This window comes from Homo sapiens, chromosome 2 (assembly GCF_000001405.40).
Source record: "Homo sapiens chromosome 2, GRCh38.p14 Primary Assembly".
NCBI classification, from domain to species: domain Eukaryota; kingdom Metazoa; phylum Chordata; class Mammalia; order Primates; family Hominidae; genus Homo; species Homo sapiens.
The window spans coordinates 28,348,017-28,365,902 of record NC_000002.12 but is presented as its reverse complement, the minus strand read 5'-3'; the positions used below and the strand labels follow the sequence as shown (position 1 = coordinate 28,365,902).

Below are 17,886 nucleotides of genomic sequence, written 5' to 3'. Positions count from 1 at the left end.
ACTCCACTGTCTCCCATTGGCCAGGCAGCATGCAATACATTTTATATTTTCTTTTTAAAATGGTTTAATGTATTTTTTTGTAGAAACGGGGTTTCGTTTTGCCACGTCTCCCAGGCTGGTCTCGTACTCCTGGGCTCAAGCCATCCTCCTGCCTTGGCTTTCCAAAGTGTTGGGATTACAGGCGCGAGCCACTGTGCCTGGCCTTCAATGCATTTTACATCCATTGTCTCTGTATAACTGAGAGTTAGGCCTCTCTCAGTTGAAATAGCCAGAAATCCAATCGAAACAGCTTAAGTAAAACAGAGAATATATTGGTCCAGGTAACTGGAAAGTCTAGTAAGTCCAGTAGACTTCGTGCTTCAGCTGCTGGGGGAACCAAGTGTGGCCACAGGGTCGAGAGTCCACGTCTCCCTCCTGGCAGCTCTGATTCCACGGTGCTGGCTTCAATCTCAGACACAGTATCTCCATTTGGTGTCTGTGTTCATTTCCTGCAGCTGCTGTAACAAATCACCATGAACTAGTGTAGCTTAACACAGCAGAAAGTGATTCTCTCCCAGTTGTGCAGGCTGGAAGTCTGAAGCCAGGATGTGGGTAGGGTGTTTCGAGGCTCTAAGGAGGAGGCTGTCCCCTCCCTCTCTCCAGGCTCCTGGGTGGTGCCAGCCATGCTTGGCATCCCTCAGCTTGTAGCTGCCGCGCTCCCATCTCTGCTGCTGTCATCACTCGGCCTTTTCCCTGTGTGTGTCTGTGTCTCGATTTCTCTCTTCTTAGAAGGACACAAGGCATTGGACACAAGCCACAAGCCACCCTGATCCAGGATGGCTTCATCTTCACTTGCCTACATCTGCAAAGACCCTTTTTCCAAACAAGGCCACCTCCAAAGGTGCAGGGGATTAGAATTTGAACATATCTTTTTGGGGTACACACTTCAACCCACAGCAGTGGCTAAAGGCTTCAGCTTTCCTTCTATCTACCTAGTGACTCCAGTGGGAAAGAAAGCTTCAATAACTCCAGCTAACACCCCAAGTGTGTTCCCACCAGCCTGTTTTGACTCACAAGTTCATCCCCGGGAATCTGACTCTGTGGCTGGGGCGAGGGAATATTCTCATTGGCCAGCTCTCAGTCATGATCTTATGCTGGAACCAGGAAGTGAGGTCAGCCACCCCTGGACCACATACCCAACAGAAAATCCAGGCGACATCACCAAAAGAAAGGGGAAAGGATGCTGGGAAGGGGAAAGATGCTGGGAAGGTCAAAAGAACAGATTCCACTCAACCATCAGCACCCCCAGGCACCTACAGTGTGGGCCTGATTTCCATTTACTGAAGGTTGACAAAGTTAATGACTTGCAACCAGCTAATGGGATTGGAACTGAGCTGAGACTCTAACTCGGGCCTATCTGGCTGCAAAACTAGGCTCTTTCCCCAACAGGAATTCAGAGGGTGGTGTCCCTTGCAATGGAGGAGGTGGGACTTGGGCTGTGCCTTGAGCATAGGGAAAGGGAAGACCGCCCTGGGAAGGAGAGGCCTGGAGTCTGCAGAGCCCACGGCCTTCGGCTCGAGGCAGAGGATTCTCCTGAGGGAGGGATGAGAATAAGGTCCACTGTGCAAGGCCTCAGGTGTCTTCTGTTTTCCATGGACAATGGGGAGTCACTGAAGACTCATGAGCTGGAGAGACTCTGCCATCGATCAGCTCACAGTGCTTGGTGTAAGTGGTCCTCCGGGAATCAGCAGCTGCAAAGGTGTGAAGCGTTGATTGGGCGGGGAGACGCTGACAGGGAGGAGACTGTGGCCACAGTCAGGTGAGCGGTGATAAGGCCTGAGTGGGGCAGGAGAGGAAGGCCCTGGCACCTCCACCCACCCCACCCAACAAGCCCCAGGTCCCGATCTAACTCCACCCACCCCACCCCAGTGGTACCCAGGGTCCAAGACCAGCTGGGACTTTCCTCACACTCAAAAACCCCTCTCAGCAAACCATTCTCATGATCAGTGTATGAGCCAGCCTTGAGTGGCAGGTCATCACGTCCTGGCTAGTCACATTCTGCTACCACCAAAAGAAACTTCCCCAGCCAAGAGGGCAAGTGAGGCCAGACATGGGGCCAGCTTCTCTGCTGCCTGTGATTCAGGGAATAGGGACAGGGACTGGGAGAGGGGCTGCGGTGCCCCAGGGACCCAGCGGGTGGGCTCCTCTGCGTGCTGTCTGCAGTGATGAATGCCCACCCACTGGAAGGCCCACAACTGAGGATGGAAGCCCACGGGCTGCTGGGGAAACATCCCGGAGGCTGAGAAGGGTCTGGGAAAGGGAGGGGGTGAGGGGCCACTCCCTTCAGAGCCCAGATTGGAATTTCCCACCTAACAGGTGGGTAAGAATTGGGGGCTCTGTGAGTCTTTCAAAGATGAGGCAGAGGCTTGCAGGACAGGAAGGAGATTCCCATCGTCCCCTGAGCGGAGCCAGGCAGCGGTGCCCTGGTGAAGTGTGTGTGTCTGCACACGCATACACACATGGGGGGTGAGGGCTCAGGGCGCCATTCTCTGGTGATACCTATGTCCGTGAAGGGGGTCTCAGGCCACAGTTAGAACCATGCTACTCCCCCTGGGTCCTGGAGGAGATGGAATGAGACCTTTCCCTGCTGGGCCCCCAGATCTTTCAGGCGAGCGTGGAAGGCCCTGCTCACCTTTCCCGTGCCTGTGGCTGCTGAGAGAAGGGGAAGCCGGTGAGAGGAAGTGCAGGCAGCTCTGGGATTTCTCAGTGAGCATTCCCGGCCCTGCCCCTGGGGCACTTGCTGCCGTAGCTGCGGGGAAGCGCCTGGAAGGGGCTTGCTGTCTGCAGCTGAGGGAAGGCCCTCATTGACTCAGTGGCTTGGCTTTTTCCTAGTTTTCCCCTGGTGCTGAAAGCGAAGAGTGTCCTTCTCCTGGGATAGCTGAAGGTATCGCTCTGAGGGCTCTCAGGCTCTCCAGGACCACAGGCTTCCGCAGGGTCTGGAGATGGGGAGTGGGATGGGAAGAAGAGCAGACCCCATTTCTCAGGAGTTGATTAAAAAGGCGGACAGGGTGAGGTGAGGGGGAGGCTACTCATTGCATTGTTTAATGTCATTCATAAAGTTTGAACCAAAAAAAAATCTTCTATTCCGCTGGAAAGCTGTTATGCTTCCTTTCATCAGAAAAGGAGAATTGATACCAGCAACCTTTATGTTTTGGATGAGACGCCGGGAGGTTGTATTCAGGTGAGGCTTGCTTGGCTCAGATTCTGGGACACTCTCTCCTCTGCAGCCTAGGCTTGTGTTCTTTTAATCTGAATTTAAAGGCCTGTTATCATTGCATTTCCACTGTGAGTCATCTCAACTCTTTCAGAAACAGGCAGGATAGAATTCACGAATGAATGAATGAATGAATGAATGGATGAATGATAGCAATTATGGAGTACTTACTACGTGGCAGGCCCTGTTCTAAGCACTTTACAGTATGGGCTTATTTAAGCCTCCCAGTGACCTGATGAGGAAGATATTATTTGTATCCCCATTTTACAGCCAGGGAACTAGAGCAGGCAGGGAATAAAAGCAGCTGGTGGGTGGTGGAGCCAGGCAGGCTGGCTCCCGCATCCTCCTTCCTACTGGCCACGCTATGCTGCCCCTGAGAATGATTGAATGAGAAAAGCTCATTCATCACGCGTGGAGGAGGAGGATGGATGAGGGGCAGGGTGGTGACCTGGTGCTGGAGCTGGAGGGTCAGTGTCGATGCCAGCAGTGATGGCAGCCGGGACTATGGAGACGGGGCTGGTGAAGAGTCCTTCCCGCCTGGCTGTGTCCAGCTGTCCCATGAGAGGGTTCCTTCAGGGAAGACATGAGACAGCTGCTTGCCCTCTCTTGGCCTCCCTCTACTCACTTGGGAGATGGTTAGTGGGATTCAGGGATTTGGGGGGCCTTGCAGCTTAGACACCCATGGCTTTTTTTCCCCCCTCTCTTAGAGACATGGTCTTGCTCTGTTACCCAGGCCGGAATGCAGTGTTGTGATCTTAGCTCATGGCAGCCTTGACCTCCTGGCCTCAAGTGATCCTCCCACCTCAGCCTCCTGAGTAGCTGGGACTACAGCCGCACATCACCACATCTGGCTAATTTTTGTATTTTTTGTAGAGACAGGGTTTCGCCACATTACCCAGGCTGGTCCCGAACTCCTGGGCTCAAGCAGTCCATCCTCTTTGGCCTCCCAAAGTGCTGGGATTAGAGGCATGAGCCACCGCCCAGCCAGACTTACAGCTCTTCTTTCTGATCAGAGTTGGGCAGCTGAGCCCCAGCGGGACCTGAAAGGATGGGAAGTCCTTGGGGCTAGGAGAGGGGCACAAGCCTCAAGCCCATGCCCAGCCCGGACCACCCTGTCCTTTCTGAGAACAGCTGAGGTAGAACCTGGTTCTCAGAGCTGGGAAGGAATCCAGAGACCATCTGACCTGAACTTCCATTGTACAGACAAGAACACTGAGGCTCGGGGAAGGGAAGAGACACTCCCAGGGCCCCAGGACTGATCCTGCCTCACAGCGAGCCCTTCCCACTGTCCATTGCTCTTTCGTGAAAGCCCCAGTAACCAGGCAAGAGGGTGGGCCAGTTCTGGGTTACAGGCAAAAGGAATCTTGGAGCATCTGGCTGGGCCAGTGGGATCTCTGGCTTGTCCCTTGGGGCTTTGTGTCATCCTGGGCCACGAGTCAGAAAAGCATCACTGGGACACCAACCCCAGGGCACCATGGCTTTTGGGGTCAGTTGTTGATGACAAATCCTCACGCGTAAGGTGCTGAGTCAGCCCTGGGAAAGGGGCAGGAGAGGCTGTCTCTGCTTGGCAGCTTTCCCTGGCCCCTGACTCCCGTGACCCTCTCCCAGCTCCACCCCTCCTCCCCACAGTGCTTCTCAGCCCCAGGCTTGCCCTCTGCTTGTAGCTGGTGGTGTCTTGAAAAAGGACCTGATGCTTCAGTATTAGGATGATAGCGGTAGAGACAGGCGAGAGAAAACTCCACAGCGAGAGACCAAGCTTCGAGCGTCCGTGCTGCCACCTGCTCCCCGCTGTGTGGTCTTGGACCAGTCCTTTCAGCTTCCTCCTCTGTAAAGCACAGGCCTGGTGGTGGCTGTCTGGAAGACCCTCTGCCTTCTAACACTTGGGGATTGTGAAGTACGGCCTCTCTCATGGTGTCTTTGTGTTATAAAGAAAAAGAACTGAAAAGAGGAGCCATAGCCCAAAAAGCTGTGACTCCACTGAAGAAATGCGGGTTCCAGGAGGCCTGTGGGAGGAATTGGGCTGAGGGTGTTTTGGTTGGGCAACCCCGCCTGCATTGCGTCCTCCCACCTCCTGCCTGAAACAGCAGTTCCGGCAGGCAGGCCCTCAGGGGCATCAAAGCTGAGCTGCGGCCCCACCCTGAGGCAGAGGGCCTGGGGCCTGGGGCGGGTGAGGACATATGGACAATGTGGGCACCACACCTGCCCCTACACTGCCACCCAGGCACACCCAGACACAGGGGACTTCCTTTAGGAACCCCCCAAACTCATGCCACCCTAGAGTGGGGGCTTGGAGACCCTGAGATTCCTGAGAAAAGTGAAGCCCCATTGGACCTCCCTAGACAGCTCTCTCTGCCCTCGTTTAAGCTGCCGACTGGCCCCCGCTCCACAGAAGGTGCCACCCACCTGCCTGCCACTCCCATCCACTCCCATGAGACGGAGCTCCCGCCTCAGCCAGCCCATCAAGACCAGTGTCTGGGCCCACGCTTTGGGGCCAGTTTCTCCAGGGAACCCTGCTCAAAGCATTGACAGAGTAAGAGAACGGTATCGAAGAATAAGCTTTACCTTACTTACGTAATCTCTCACCTCGAAGGCAGGGAGTTTGGCAGGTGAAGAAACTGAGGGCTGCGGGGGGTGGGGCTTCCTGGGTCACAGTTAGCAGGTGGGAATCGGGGCTTGAAACCGGGACCCTGCACACAGGCCTCAGGCTGGACGGCACCCAGCATGTGGGTGAAGAAGCTCCATGGTCTGGAGGCGAAAGCACAGGCCGGAGCCCCAGCAGCCTCCCCTCCCTCCTCTGTGTGCAGGCTGCGTCTGCCTCGCAGGGTCCCGTCTTATGGGACGGTGGTGAGGAGGTGACAGGGCTACAGAGACACATGGTCAGGATGCGTTATCGATATTATTATTCTTGCCACTATTATTGTGCCCGCCATGGCAAACGTGACTTTGCATGCCTCAGGTGCCAAGCCCGAGACCTCGTGAGACACCAGCAGAGACTGCCCCACCCAGCAGGTGACAAGTCTCTCACAGCACCCCAGGAAGCCGCCCTCTGGCCTCTGACGTCCGTCCTCTCCGGGGGCCTCTCCTTCCTTGTGGTTCCGTGTTAAAAAATCTCCCTCTGTCTTCCCCCTGACCCTCTGACCACAATGGCCTGGGCTCCCTGTCCCTCTGTGTGCATGGTGACTTTTGCTGAAAAGCAAACATCACTGGGGCGCCCAGCCTCGTGGTTTCAGGCTGTGCGGTTTACCTCATGACGTCATTTTCCTTCCTCCAGATAAACCAGAAGAGACTTTACTGCTCAGCTGGTCCTGGGGAAATGGTGCCTGCCCTGACTCGTGGAAGGTTCAGGGTGGGCATCTGGGCCGTAGCCAGGGCCGAGAAGAGGTCCCCAGGCTTAGCCAAGGCTCACAGTGACCTGTGTCTAAAGGAACGTTTCTGGCTCCTACTTTGTTAGCATAGACTCAGACAGCCCAGGGGCTGGGGCTCCCAAGGTGCAGAGGAAGGGTAGGGGGCCACAGCAGCCAGAGGCTTGTCCTGAAGCCCCTGACTGCCACCCCCAGCCACCAGAAAGGGTGGACCTTCTGGACCTTTGTGGCAGACCACCAGGCCCTGAGCCACCACCCACACAGGGAAGGAAGACAGTGGCAGCCCAGCCTGGAGAAACCGCCCCGTCCCCAGACCGGGTTGTCCCTTCTCCACGTCTCCTGTGCTGCCAGCCAGGTAGGGGACAGGGTTTCCCAGGGGCAGGCACAGGGGAAGGGGCCACCACCTCTCCTGAATGCCCACCCCTGCCCAAGCTCTGTGCTTTATGGTCTCTTTGACTGTCCTCACAGCCCTTTGAAGTCAATCTTTTATAGACTACTCTGTTTCCAGATGACAGGCCCAAGTCTCAGAGAGGTTTGGGACTCGCCTAAGATTGCAGCTAGCAATGGGCCTGGCACGCAGTTGGTACTCGGGAATGTTTGTTTCCCAGAAAGGAAGGGAGATGCTACCTTTCCTCCGAGAAGCAACCAGAAGTCTCCAGGCTTGCAAGACAGTTTCCCTCCTGAGGACAGCTGGAGCCGTGACAACGTGGGGCCCTGACTGGGCTGCGCCTCCTCTCTGAGGTGGCTGATGCATTCTGCTCCCTCGGGAGCTTGGATATCAGGCTGCGGTCTGGGGTCTGGAGTGGCCACAGCAACACAGAGTCATCTCTGTTCAGATCTGGCCACTGCTGGGGAAAGCCCTGGCCCTTCTACCTTCCCTGTGGGGTCCCCTTTCCTTCCACCTGCACCAGGTTCTCATGGGCTCTCTACCCATGCCCAGCAGGCTCCCTCTGCAGGGCACTGGGGCGGGGTCGGGGTCGGCGGGGCGGGGGAGTAGGAGTGGGCGGGAGGGCAGAGAAGACTGAGACAGAAGACATGTTCCTGTCTTCAGAAAATCAACGCTCTTTTCAGGACTCACCATAGGAACGATGACCACTGCCACCATCACCACGGTGCGGAATAATCACTGCACATCCTGAGCCCCAGCCTAAGCAGGTCCCACAGATGTCTCATTTTAATCCTCTTCCACTTTAATCCTTGTTAAAAAACAACCTGTGAGGTGGGTGCGGTGGCTCACGCCTGTAATCTCAGCACTTTGGGAGGCCAAGGCAGGTGGATCACTTGAGGTCAGGAGTTCGAAACCAGCCTGGCCCACATGGTGAAACCCTGTCTCTACTAAAAATACAAAAATTAGCTGGGTGTGGTGGTGGGCGCCTGTAATCCCAACTACTCTGGAAGATGAGGCAGGAGAATCACTTGAACCTGGAAGGCAGAGGTTGCAGTGAGCCGAGATCACACCAAGAGCAAAACTCTGTCTCAAAAAAAAAAAAAAAAAAAAAAAGCTGGGCACGGTGGCTCACTCTGTAATCCCAGCACTTTGAGAGGCCGAGTCAGTTGGATCACAAGGTCAGGAGATCGAGACCATCCTGGCCAACATGGTGAAACTCTATCTCTACTCAATTACAAAAAATTAGCCGGGCATGGTGGCAGGTGCCTGTAATCCCAGCTACTTGGGAGGCTGAGGCAGGGGAATTGATTGAACCTGGGAGGCGGAGGTTGCAGTGAGCCAAGATCGCGCCACTGCACTCCAGCCTGGGTGACAGAGTGAGACTCCATCTCAAAAAAAAAAAAAAAAAAAAGCCCAATAAAACAATAAGAAAAACAACCTGTGAAGTGGCTATTATTTTTCCCATTCTACAGATGAGCAACTGAGCTTCAGTTTCCTGTCCATCATCGCCCAGCTAGGAAGTGGCGGAGCTGGGAGTGGACTCTGGGATGCTCAGGCTGTAGGACCTGTGGTCCATAGCGTGCACTGTGCCTCAGACCTGAGGCAGAAGGATGCACCTTCCAGAAAGACGTGCTGTGCACATGCAGAGCATGAGATGCTGGGAGCCAGGGCCCTGTGAAGGGCCTGAACCTTGAGGACAGGCAGGAACTAGACTGGCAGGGGGAGGCACGGGCACTCCCAAGACACAGACTGGCCTGAGCCCAGTTTCAAGGGAAGGAGCCATGATGCCTGTGTGAGGGCAGCAAACTGTTCTATGGGGCCAGAGCCCAGGGCCTGGGGAGGGAGATCAAAGCCAGACCAGAGCAAAGCTGGTGCTAGGTGATAGTCTGCTGCCCACCCTCCCTTCCCGCTGTTCAGGCCTGGGCCCCACTCAGAAGTCTGTGTCCTCAGGGTCAAAGGCCCATCCAGGGTGGTGCCACCCTCCTCCACTTGAAGCCACTCTCTCCCATCTCTCCCTGTGGCCCAGATGCCTGCCAGGGTCAGCTGTTGGGACTTAGCCGTTCCAGGGAGGGAGGCCTGGGCAGCTCGGAGCCAGTGGGTTTGTGGGTTGAGCCAGAGGGCTGGAGAATGATCCCAGCTGATAGGGCCCACGTGGGTGGTCTCTGGGAGAGCCTGGGAGGGAACCAGGCAGGGCGGCTCTGTCCTTGGCCTGGGCTCCCAGAGCTCAGCTAGACTGTTCCTGGACAGGCTGTGCCAGCTGCAGGGCCTCCAGACCCCAGACTCTATCCCCGAGTCATCCATCGACACCAGGAGTCACTCCTAGGTAGACACAGCTGCCTGCTCGGAGCCCTGTGCAGCTCCCTCTGCCCCCAGTCCCCAGCCACCCTCTCCTCTCAGCAGCCTGTCCTCTGCTCCTCCATCCTCAGGAGCTGAGCCTCAGTGAAGTGGCTGCTAGGTGCTCCAGAGTGAAGGCAGGACAGGACTCTGAGCTGGACTGCCAGGCCCAAGGTGACTTGGAGGTGGGGAAGAGGCACGGCCACAGGCAGTGAGCCCTGAGCCAGAGGCGGCAGGGACAGTGTCTGAACCCAGCACTCCCTTCCTCACGCCCCTGGCAGGAGGCCCAGGCGCAGCGCCAGCCTCACAGGCTGATTCGTGACTGAGAAGCTGCCTCGTGGGCCCTGCTCTGGGTGGGAGGGGCCTGGGAAAGTCAAGTCTCTGGGCCTTCGCTGCTCTGTGGGGCCTGCCCAGGCTGTGTGTGGCTGCTGGGAGGCACCGAAAAGCCGTTTTCTTCATTAAGCATCTGTGTGGAGATGGAAGGAACCAACAGGGATGCCTCTCCAATCATACAGACTTGGGCCAGCCACCACCTCCTCAGTTCTTCACAATTCTCCTTGCTCTCCCTCCTGTTGTGGTCATTAATTTGGGAGGCTCTGGAGGGGGTGGGTGGCATTGTTCCCTGCCATCCTGCTGTCCAGAGCCCAGTTCCATCCCCGGCTCTGGAACCCTAGAAGATGCGAGGCCCCCAGGACACCATTGCCATCCTCAGTGGGCTGGGTGAGGCCTGCTCCGGGCCCACTCACAGGCCAAGCTTGAGTGACACAGGAGCCAGAGATGGGGCTACTGCAGTCCCCAGGCAACCTTATCTACAGTGGCAGCTGTGGCCACAGTAACCTCTCCAGTTGGGCAGGACGGTGAGGTCAGCCATCAACAGCCAGCCTGACCTTTCTGGAAGCCAGCCAGCCAGCCATGTCTGCTGCATCCAGGCAGGACTGCAGCTTAAGCTCTGCTCTTGGAGAGCTGGTTGCCCAGGCAGACCCATCCGTAGACACAGCTCTCTGCTTCAATGTCCCAGCCTGGGAGTCCGAGAAGGGGGCCTGGTCTGTGCCTCTCATCAGCTCCCGAGCACCAAGCTCGCAACCAGCCAAGTGTCCATTTTTAAGTGTTCCCGCCTGTAAATGAGGGCCTGGGACGGACTAATGCAGAGTGGGTAGTGCAAGGAGAACTGATGGGGACAAAAGGGTGGCCTGGCCTCCAGCCAGGGCTACTGGAGTGGGCAGGGCAAGAGATGATGGCAGCTTGAAGGAGGGGGGTGTGGGCAGAGGGAATGGGGCAAGGTAGGTGGATCTGAGAGAGATTTTGGGGTGAGAATAAACAGGACCGGTGACTGGATGTGAGGATTAGACAGTGGGGAGTTCTGTCTTGCACAACCTGGGGCGCCATGGCCTGAGCTGGAAGCCTGAGGCTCCCAACCTGCTGAGCGACTTGCCACGGGCTGATGCCCCCTGGGCCCGTGCTCTCATCCCTCAACTTCCAAGGGATCCCTGATCCCATTGACTTCCAAGGTGGGAACGAGTGAGGTCTCATCCTCTCTGCTCCAACCACCCTGCAAGTTTGGTGCTCTGGGAACTCATGTGTTCCTGTCTCCACTTGTAACTAAAACCATGAAAACTTGAAACACACAAAAGAAGAAGGGACTATCATGGCCCTGAGAGCCCATCACTCAGCTTCAAGGCTCATTGTCATCTTACCTTTTTTATTTCTTTTTTCTTTTTGAGACAGAGTCTCACTCTGTTGCCCAGGCTGGAGTGCAGTGGCATGATCATGGCTCACTGCCACCTTGACCTTCTGGGCTCAAGCGATCCTCCCACTTCAGCCTCCCGAGTAACTGGGACTAAAGATGTGTGCCTCCACGCTTGGCTAATTTTTTTATTTTTTGTAGAGATGAGGTCTCCATATGTTGCCCTGGCTGGTCTTGAATTCCTGAACCCAAGTAATCCTCCTGCCTCGGCCTCCCAAAATGCTGGGATTACAGGTGTAAGCCACCACAACTGGCCCTTCTTTACTTCTTAGCTAACTTAAAAAAATTTTGGTATTTTATAACAGTGCCAGACACTATATTATTTTATCCATAAATACTTTAGTTTTTATGTCCAACAGAATGAGGGATTCGTTTTTTTTTTTAACATAACTATAATGCCAAGTCTTAGCAAATGTTAATAAAGTTAACAATTTCTTTTTAAAAAAATTTCAACTTTTGGCCATGCGCGGTGGCTCACACCTGAATCCCAGCACTTTGGGAGGCTGAGGGGGTGTGGATCACTGGAGGTCAGGAGTTCGAGACCAGCCTGGCCAACATAGTGAAAACCCATCTCTACTAAATATATATATATACACAAAAATTAGCTGGGCGTGGTGGCGCGTGCCTGTAATCCCAGCTACTCGGGAGGCTGAGGCAGGAAAATTGCTTGAACTCAAGAGGTGGAAGTTGCAGTGAGCTGAGATCATGCCACTGCACTCCAGCCTGGGTGACAGAGCAAGACTCCATCTCAGAAAAAAAAAAAAATCAATTTTTATTATAAAGGGTACACCTGCAGATTTGTTACATGGGCAAATTGCATGACACTGAGGCTTGGGGTCCCAGGGACCCTGTCGCCCAGACCGTAAGCATAGTACCCAACAGGTGATTCTTCAGCCCACACCCCCCTCCCTCCCTTCCCAGTCCAGTGATCCCCAGTGTCTACTGTTCCCATCTTTATGATCATGTGTATTTAACATTTAGCTCCCACTTATAAGTGAGAACGTGGTATTTGGTTTTCTGTTCTTGCATTAGGTTGCTTGGGATTATGGCCTCTAGCTCTATCTATATTGTTGCAAAGGACATGATTTCATTCTTTTTATGGCTGCATAGTATTCCATGGTACAACAATTTCTTAATATCATATAAAACCCAGTTCAGGCCAGGCGTGGTGGCTCACACCTGTAATCCCAGCACTTTGGGAGGCCTAGGCGGGTGGATCATTTGAGGTCAGGAGTTCAAGACCAGCCTAGCTAACATGGTGAAACCCCATCTCTACTAAAAATACAAAAATTAGCCGGGTGATAATGGTGCGAGCCTGTAATCCCAGGAGGCTGAGGCAAGAGAATCACTTGAACCCAGGAGGCGAGGTTGCGGTGAGCTGAGGTCATGCCACTGCACTCCATTCTGGGCAACAGAGTGAGACCCTGTCCCCCCCGCACCCCCTCCAAAAAAAAAAAAAAACCCAGTTCAGGTTCCCACTTCCCTGGTGGTCTCATCCTTCTAGGAGCAGCAGGGACTTGGTTTCTAGGCATGGGGAGATTGAGCAATCTATTCCTATGGTGCTTAGCCATGTGCCAGAGGCTGGGCTGAATAGGCGACAGGGACAGGCCCTGCCCCAGAGGAGTGCTCAGGTCACTACCACTGGCCGCTGCACGGAGAAGAGTCTTCTTCCTCCACCAACCTGGAGTCCAGGAAGACATAAAATCTCCTGCCTCCCCAGCCTTCCCAGGAGAAACTCAATGGGGCGATGAGGCCCTCTAATGGGGTCCGCACCTCCCTCCAGCCCCTTTTTCTGTTTGCCCTTCTCCGCGCACCCTGTGTGCCAGCCAGCTGGCGTGACCAGGCCTGACCGCTGGCCCAGAACACCCCTTCTTCTCCCTCCCTTCTGGGTCCTGCTCCAAACCTCGTCTGTGCAGCTCCCGCTGACCGGCCAGGGTTATTCAGGTGTCCCCAGCCTACCCCTACCCCCCACCATCCTGCTGTGACGACTGCTCAGTGTGTCTGGGAGTTTCCAAAGGGCAGGACAGTGTCTGCTGCATTCTTGTGTCCCTAGTGGTTCACACATAGCCCTCCGTGTCAAGGAGGTGCTGTGTTTGCCGTATGACTGTGGCGTGCAAGTAAAGGCAAGAATAAGTGGGGGAACAGGGAGACGATTGGCAGGGTGGGAGAATGGGTGAATGCTGTCTCCAAGTTCTCTGTCCATCTTCAGAAGCTGGGAAACAGATGGAGCCAGTGAAAGTGTTGGGGACACTTCTCTGCCTTGGGGAAGACGTCTCCCACCCCTTCCCAACAGCAAAGGCCTGCCGCTCTGGTGTCCCCTGTCCCTGGGCTCTCTTCCCTGCTGGCCTGTCTGCACCCCCAGGGCAGTTTCCCTCCCCAGGGCAGGCTGGGAACAGCCGTAGGGAGCACAGCTCACGCCCAGACCCTGTGCCTGCTGGTGGGGTCTGTTTGCACAGGGTCATCTGGTTTCAATCCAGTGAAGTCTTAAAACTTTTCCATGGGAACTTCTTCTATTTTAAGCTCCTCCCGGATGGGCTGGACAAACTCAGCCTGAGGAGGCTGTGAGTTCCTGGGCTGCTGCTGGTGGCCTCACCACCCCCAACTGGTCCCCAACAGACAGGAGCAGGTAAGGCTTGGGGCTCAAGGACTCCGGCCCAGCTCCAACCGTTACCCATCAGAGGATCTTGAGCAAGTTTCTGCTTTCTGGGCCTCAGTTTCCTCATCTGTACAGCCTAGGGTTAGTAACAGGGAGCCAAACTGCCGGAGTTCAAATCTGGCACCACCCCTGAGTTAACTGTGTGACTTTGGCAAGGCTACTTAACCTCCCTGGGCTTCAGCTATAACATGAAATAAGTTGAGTTGCTGGGATTACATGAACTGGTGCCTGTGAGTACACAGCACAGTGCTGGGGATATGTGGAAGCCTGTATACTCAGTGCTGGTTGTTACAGATCTATTTCTTAGCGGAAACCCATGGTCGTATGTGTTTCAGAATGTCTGCTTCTGGAGTTTTAAAAAGGTAATATGCATATTCCAATGTCATGTATAACCCAGTGAGATCTGGGGAAACACCCCATGCTCAAACACATTACGGTTTCCTCATTGAAATGTGAATCTTTACTCAAAGTGAGAGAAAAAAAGGACTTAGGTTAGGCTAGGTTTTGCTAAATAAGGTATGGAAAAGCCAGCCGGGCACGGTGGCTCACGCCAGTAATCCCAGCACTTTGGAAGGCCGAGGCGGGCGGATCACGAGGTCAGGAGTTTGAGACCAGCCTGACCAACGTAGTGAAACCCTGTCTCTACTAAAAATACACCAAATTAGCCAGGCGTGGTGGCGGGCACCTGTAATCCCAGCTACTCAGGAGGCTGAGGCAGGAGAATCGCTTGAACCCGGGAGGCAGAGGTTGCAGTGATTCGAGATTGTGCCACTGCACTCCAGCCTGGGCGACAGTGCGAGACTCCATCTCAAAAAAAAAAAAAGAAAAGAAAAAGGCTTTGGATTTTCAGAGCGTTGGGAGTTTGGAATTGTGGACAAGGGATTGGGGACTGTATTGTTATTGTAATTATGTGTTTAGGAAAAAGGGGTGGTCCCTCCTGCCAGAGGGGGCAGGTAAGCCTGCTGGGAAGAGGGCAGCCCCTCCCTGCAGGCTCAGCAACCACTGGGTAAGACTTGGCCCTGTAGATGGAAACCTTGTATGCAACAAAAGGCATCCCTTCCTCTGGGCAGGCAGTACCACATCGGCAAACCACACAGCCTAACAGGGCGGCCCTGCAGGCCGACGGGCCCTGGTGGGCTGACATCACCCTCACCGGTGTGGACACTCTGAAGGCCCACCTGCGTCTGAGCGGTCACGGGTAACGTAGCTGGCCCATCACATAGCTCTGAAAGGAGCTCCTTCAGGTCAGGACATCTGTGGCTCCCCGAGCTATACCTCCTGACCCATCTCCCTCCCCAGCCCTCCACTCTGGTCACTTGGGCCAAGGGGTGTAGGCCCAGGGCTGTGTGGGAGGAGGGAATGAGCTCGTTTCATCTTAGAATCCGAGTCAGAGTGACAAGTCTGGGCTGGATGTCCCCATGGGGTCATTTTATCTCACCCACCCCTCATCCTATGGAGAGGGGTACAGTGCCCTGAACATTAGCACAGAGCTTTAGCATTTATAAAGCCCTTCCACAGGCTGTGATGTGATATTAATAAGAGTCTCATCCCCGCTGTCCTATGTTTTATTAAAACCAGGACTCGGAGTGAAGTGAGCTGCTTGGGGTCACACTGCAGTGCGTGGTGGGGCCCAGGTCGCCTACCTACCTGTTGAGTGCTCTCCTCCGCAGACCTCACTGCCTCTGGGTCCACTACAACTCCACGGTGGCCTCCCAGGGACGCCTTCCCTGCCGGCCGCTGAGGATGCTGGGAGCAAATACCGGGCCAGAGGCAGGGATGGGAGAGGACAAGCTGGGCACAAGCCCGGGAGGGACCCGGCCCTTGGGTCCCAGGAGCTGGCGGGGATTGCGTCCTCCGCCTCCGCTGCGTCTGGCTTGCGGAATTCCCTCTTGCTGAATGCCTGAGGATTAAACACAACACCTCAGCTCATAATGAAATATAAAGAGCAAACAGGACAACAGCTGAGGTGGATGAAGGAAATTAATACTTATAAAGTGCTTTGAGCCCCTGGAAGAAAAGACAGACCAAACTCAAAGCCTCCCTCCCCTGCTCCCGTCAGCCTATCAGGCAGCCAGGGTGGCTCTGAGCCTCCTCATGGAGGAAGAGGAGGAGGAAGAGGAGGAGGAAGTGGAGGAAGCTCAGGCCCAGTATGGGTGTTGGGATCAGACTTGGGACTATCTGGTGGCCTGGGACTGCTCAGCCCTGGAAACCCAACATGGGCACCTGTCCCGGGTCTGAGCTACTCAGGAAAACACTCCCCTCCCTCTGGGGGCTTTCTGGGCTGGCTGAGGTGATGCAGGGGGTGGGCACGACTTTGGAGGCCGGTGAGTCCACCTCAAGACTTGCCCAGGGGTCAGTCCTTGGTACGGGCAGAGGACAGTCACCTCCGCCATGTCCACAGCTCATGGCATCAGCGAGGAAGGTGGGCTGGACACTGGCACAGGGACTCCCACGGACAGCCTTGTCCTGTCCCTCCTCTGCTGTGTCCTCCTGCAGCCACCTGGTCACCTCAGCTCGGCTGGGAAGGCCTTCAGAAGCCAACTCTTTCAACCATGGCCTCTCTTCTCCTCACTCCCACTCTAGGTGCAGCCTCGCAGCCTGGAGGCTCAACACGCTTCTCACTGTCTCACGGAAGGCACCCACCTCGGCCCTTCCTCCACTGAGCTGCCAGAATATTCCAGCACATTCACTTCTTTCCCCCAGCTCTGCAGTCTTTGAGGCATGAACTGACGCCATCACCACGTTCGTTTCTCCCTGTTGTTTGCTGACCAATCTTAGGTGACTCTGACCCAGGTGCGTTTCCTACAGAAAGGTACAAGTGATTATTTATGGGATAGATATATAATAGGGAAAAATCAAGAAATAATTCAAATGGCTAAAAAATAACGGAAAGGGGTAAGTGAACTATGGAGAAATATGAGATGGGTTCACCAAAGATGGCAAGATGGTAAACACTCGGGAAACAAAATAGAAAAACGAAACAAGATCCGCAATTGTTTTCCATTGTTTTTAAGCATGTTAACAATGAATAGGAAAAAGACTGGAAGGAAACCCCTTTAGTCCTCAGACCTCAGCTGGGATATCATTTCCTGCCTCAGAATAAATAAGTACAAAATATTTGTTGAACGCTGTTAAATACCTACACGCTGAGCGTGGTTCTGTCTGGAGGAGGGAGCCTGCGTCGTTTCTGGTGTCTGCTCCTTTCATAAGAGGAAAAGTTCAGGTGCGGTGGCTCACGCCTGTAATCCCAGCACTTTGGGAGGCCGAGATGGGTGGATCACCTGAGGTCAGGAGTTCTAGACCAGCCTGGCCAACATGGTGAAACCCCATCTCTACTAAAAATACAAAAAATTAGCCGAGTGTGGTGGTGGGTGCCTATAATCCCAGCTACTCTGGAGGCTGAGGTGAGAGAATCACTTGAATCCGGGAGGCGGAGGTTGCAGTGAGCCGAGATTGCACCACTGCTCTTTAGCCTGGGCAACAGAGAAAGACTCCATCTCAAAACAGACAAACAAACAAACAAAAAACAAAAAAAAAACAGAGGAAAAGTCTCTCGTGCTAGCCGTTTTGCTGGCAGTGGCATGGGCGGGTTGGAAGCCTGCTGCCCGCTGTGATACCTGCCTGGGAGCCCACCTTCCAGGTCACACCCACCTCTGTTGACCCAGGCCCCGGGTGGCAGAGCTTTTGGGCAGAACATGGCTGGCCCTTCTCAGGCACTCCGGGGGCCCTGTTCGCCTGCTTCAGGCAGCTGGATTCTCTGGGGCTGAGTGAAAGGGGAAGGCAGCCTGGCACGGGGCACCTCCTCCCCACTCTCCCCTCTGTCTAGTGGGTGGGTGCCAGGGCAGGTCCCAGAGGCTGGCTGAGGCCGGGGAGGGCAGGCAGGATGGGCGTCACTCCCGTTTCCTTTGCAGTTCGTGGTATTGTCACCACCTCCTCAGGGCACCTCCACCAGGCCCCTAACCTGACCTGGCAGCAGCGGGGGCAGTGTGTTAGGTGGTGGCAGTGGCAACCTGCTTACGTTTTCACGTGGCCATGACCTTTTACTGTCCCCAAAGCCTCCCCTCACCGTATCTGCCTTGTTCTTAGCACCAGCCTGTGAAACAGGCTTGGTATTTTACAGATGAGGAGGTCTAGGTCAGGGAAGCCACC

At 54.8% G+C, this 17,886-nt stretch overlaps 2 long non-coding RNA genes across 4 annotated transcripts, besides 2 other annotated features; both read right to left on the bottom strand.

The window, feature by feature from the left end:
- Nucleotides 1-46: 46 nt before the first annotated feature.
- On the bottom strand, nt 47-7,526 carry LOC105374382 (uncharacterized). 3 transcript variants are annotated; one of them, XR_007086256.1, is made up of 3 exons: nt 7,243-7,526; nt 2,672-6,114; nt 47-1,815 (listed from the first exon to the last, which is right to left on the bottom strand). It is a non-coding gene; the product is annotated as an uncharacterized LOC105374382 (long non-coding RNA). The 3 variants fall into 3 exon arrangements; XR_007086255.1 differs by lacking the exon at nt 7,243-7,526 and having other exon boundaries at nt 2,672-6,248; XR_001739354.2 differs by lacking the exon at nt 7,243-7,526 and having other exon boundaries at nt 47-1,730; nt 2,672-3,997.
- Nucleotides 4,298-4,985: an enhancer, noted in NCBI's record as "H3K4me1 hESC enhancer chr2:28583785-28584472 (GRCh37/hg19 assembly coordinates)". NCBI's record gives its function as "activates a minimal SCP1, AML or CMV promoter by ChIP-STARR-seq in naive H9 embryonic stem cells {active_cell/tissue: H9 hESC(naive)}" and the evidence as "EXISTENCE:reporter gene assay evidence [ECO:0000049][PMID:30033119]".
- Nucleotides 5,384-6,583: an enhancer, noted in NCBI's record as "P300/CBP strongly-dependent group 1 enhancer chr2:28582187-28583386 (GRCh37/hg19 assembly coordinates)". NCBI's record gives its function as "activates an origin of replication core promoter dependent on BRD2, BRD4, P300/CBP, MED14 and CDK7 cofactors, with strong dependence on P300/CBP, by STARR-seq in HCT116 cells {active_cell/tissue: HCT116}" and the evidence as "EXISTENCE:reporter gene assay evidence [ECO:0000049][PMID:35650434]".
- A 4,288-nt stretch (nt 7,527-11,814) lies between the features above and the next one.
- Nucleotides 11,815-17,004, bottom strand: LOC105374381 (uncharacterized). Its single transcript, XR_939873.3, has 3 exons — nt 16,881-17,004; nt 16,381-16,539; nt 11,815-15,637 (listed from the first exon to the last, which is right to left on the bottom strand). It is a non-coding gene; the product is annotated as an uncharacterized LOC105374381 (long non-coding RNA).
- Nucleotides 17,005-17,886: the final 882 nt, after the last annotated feature.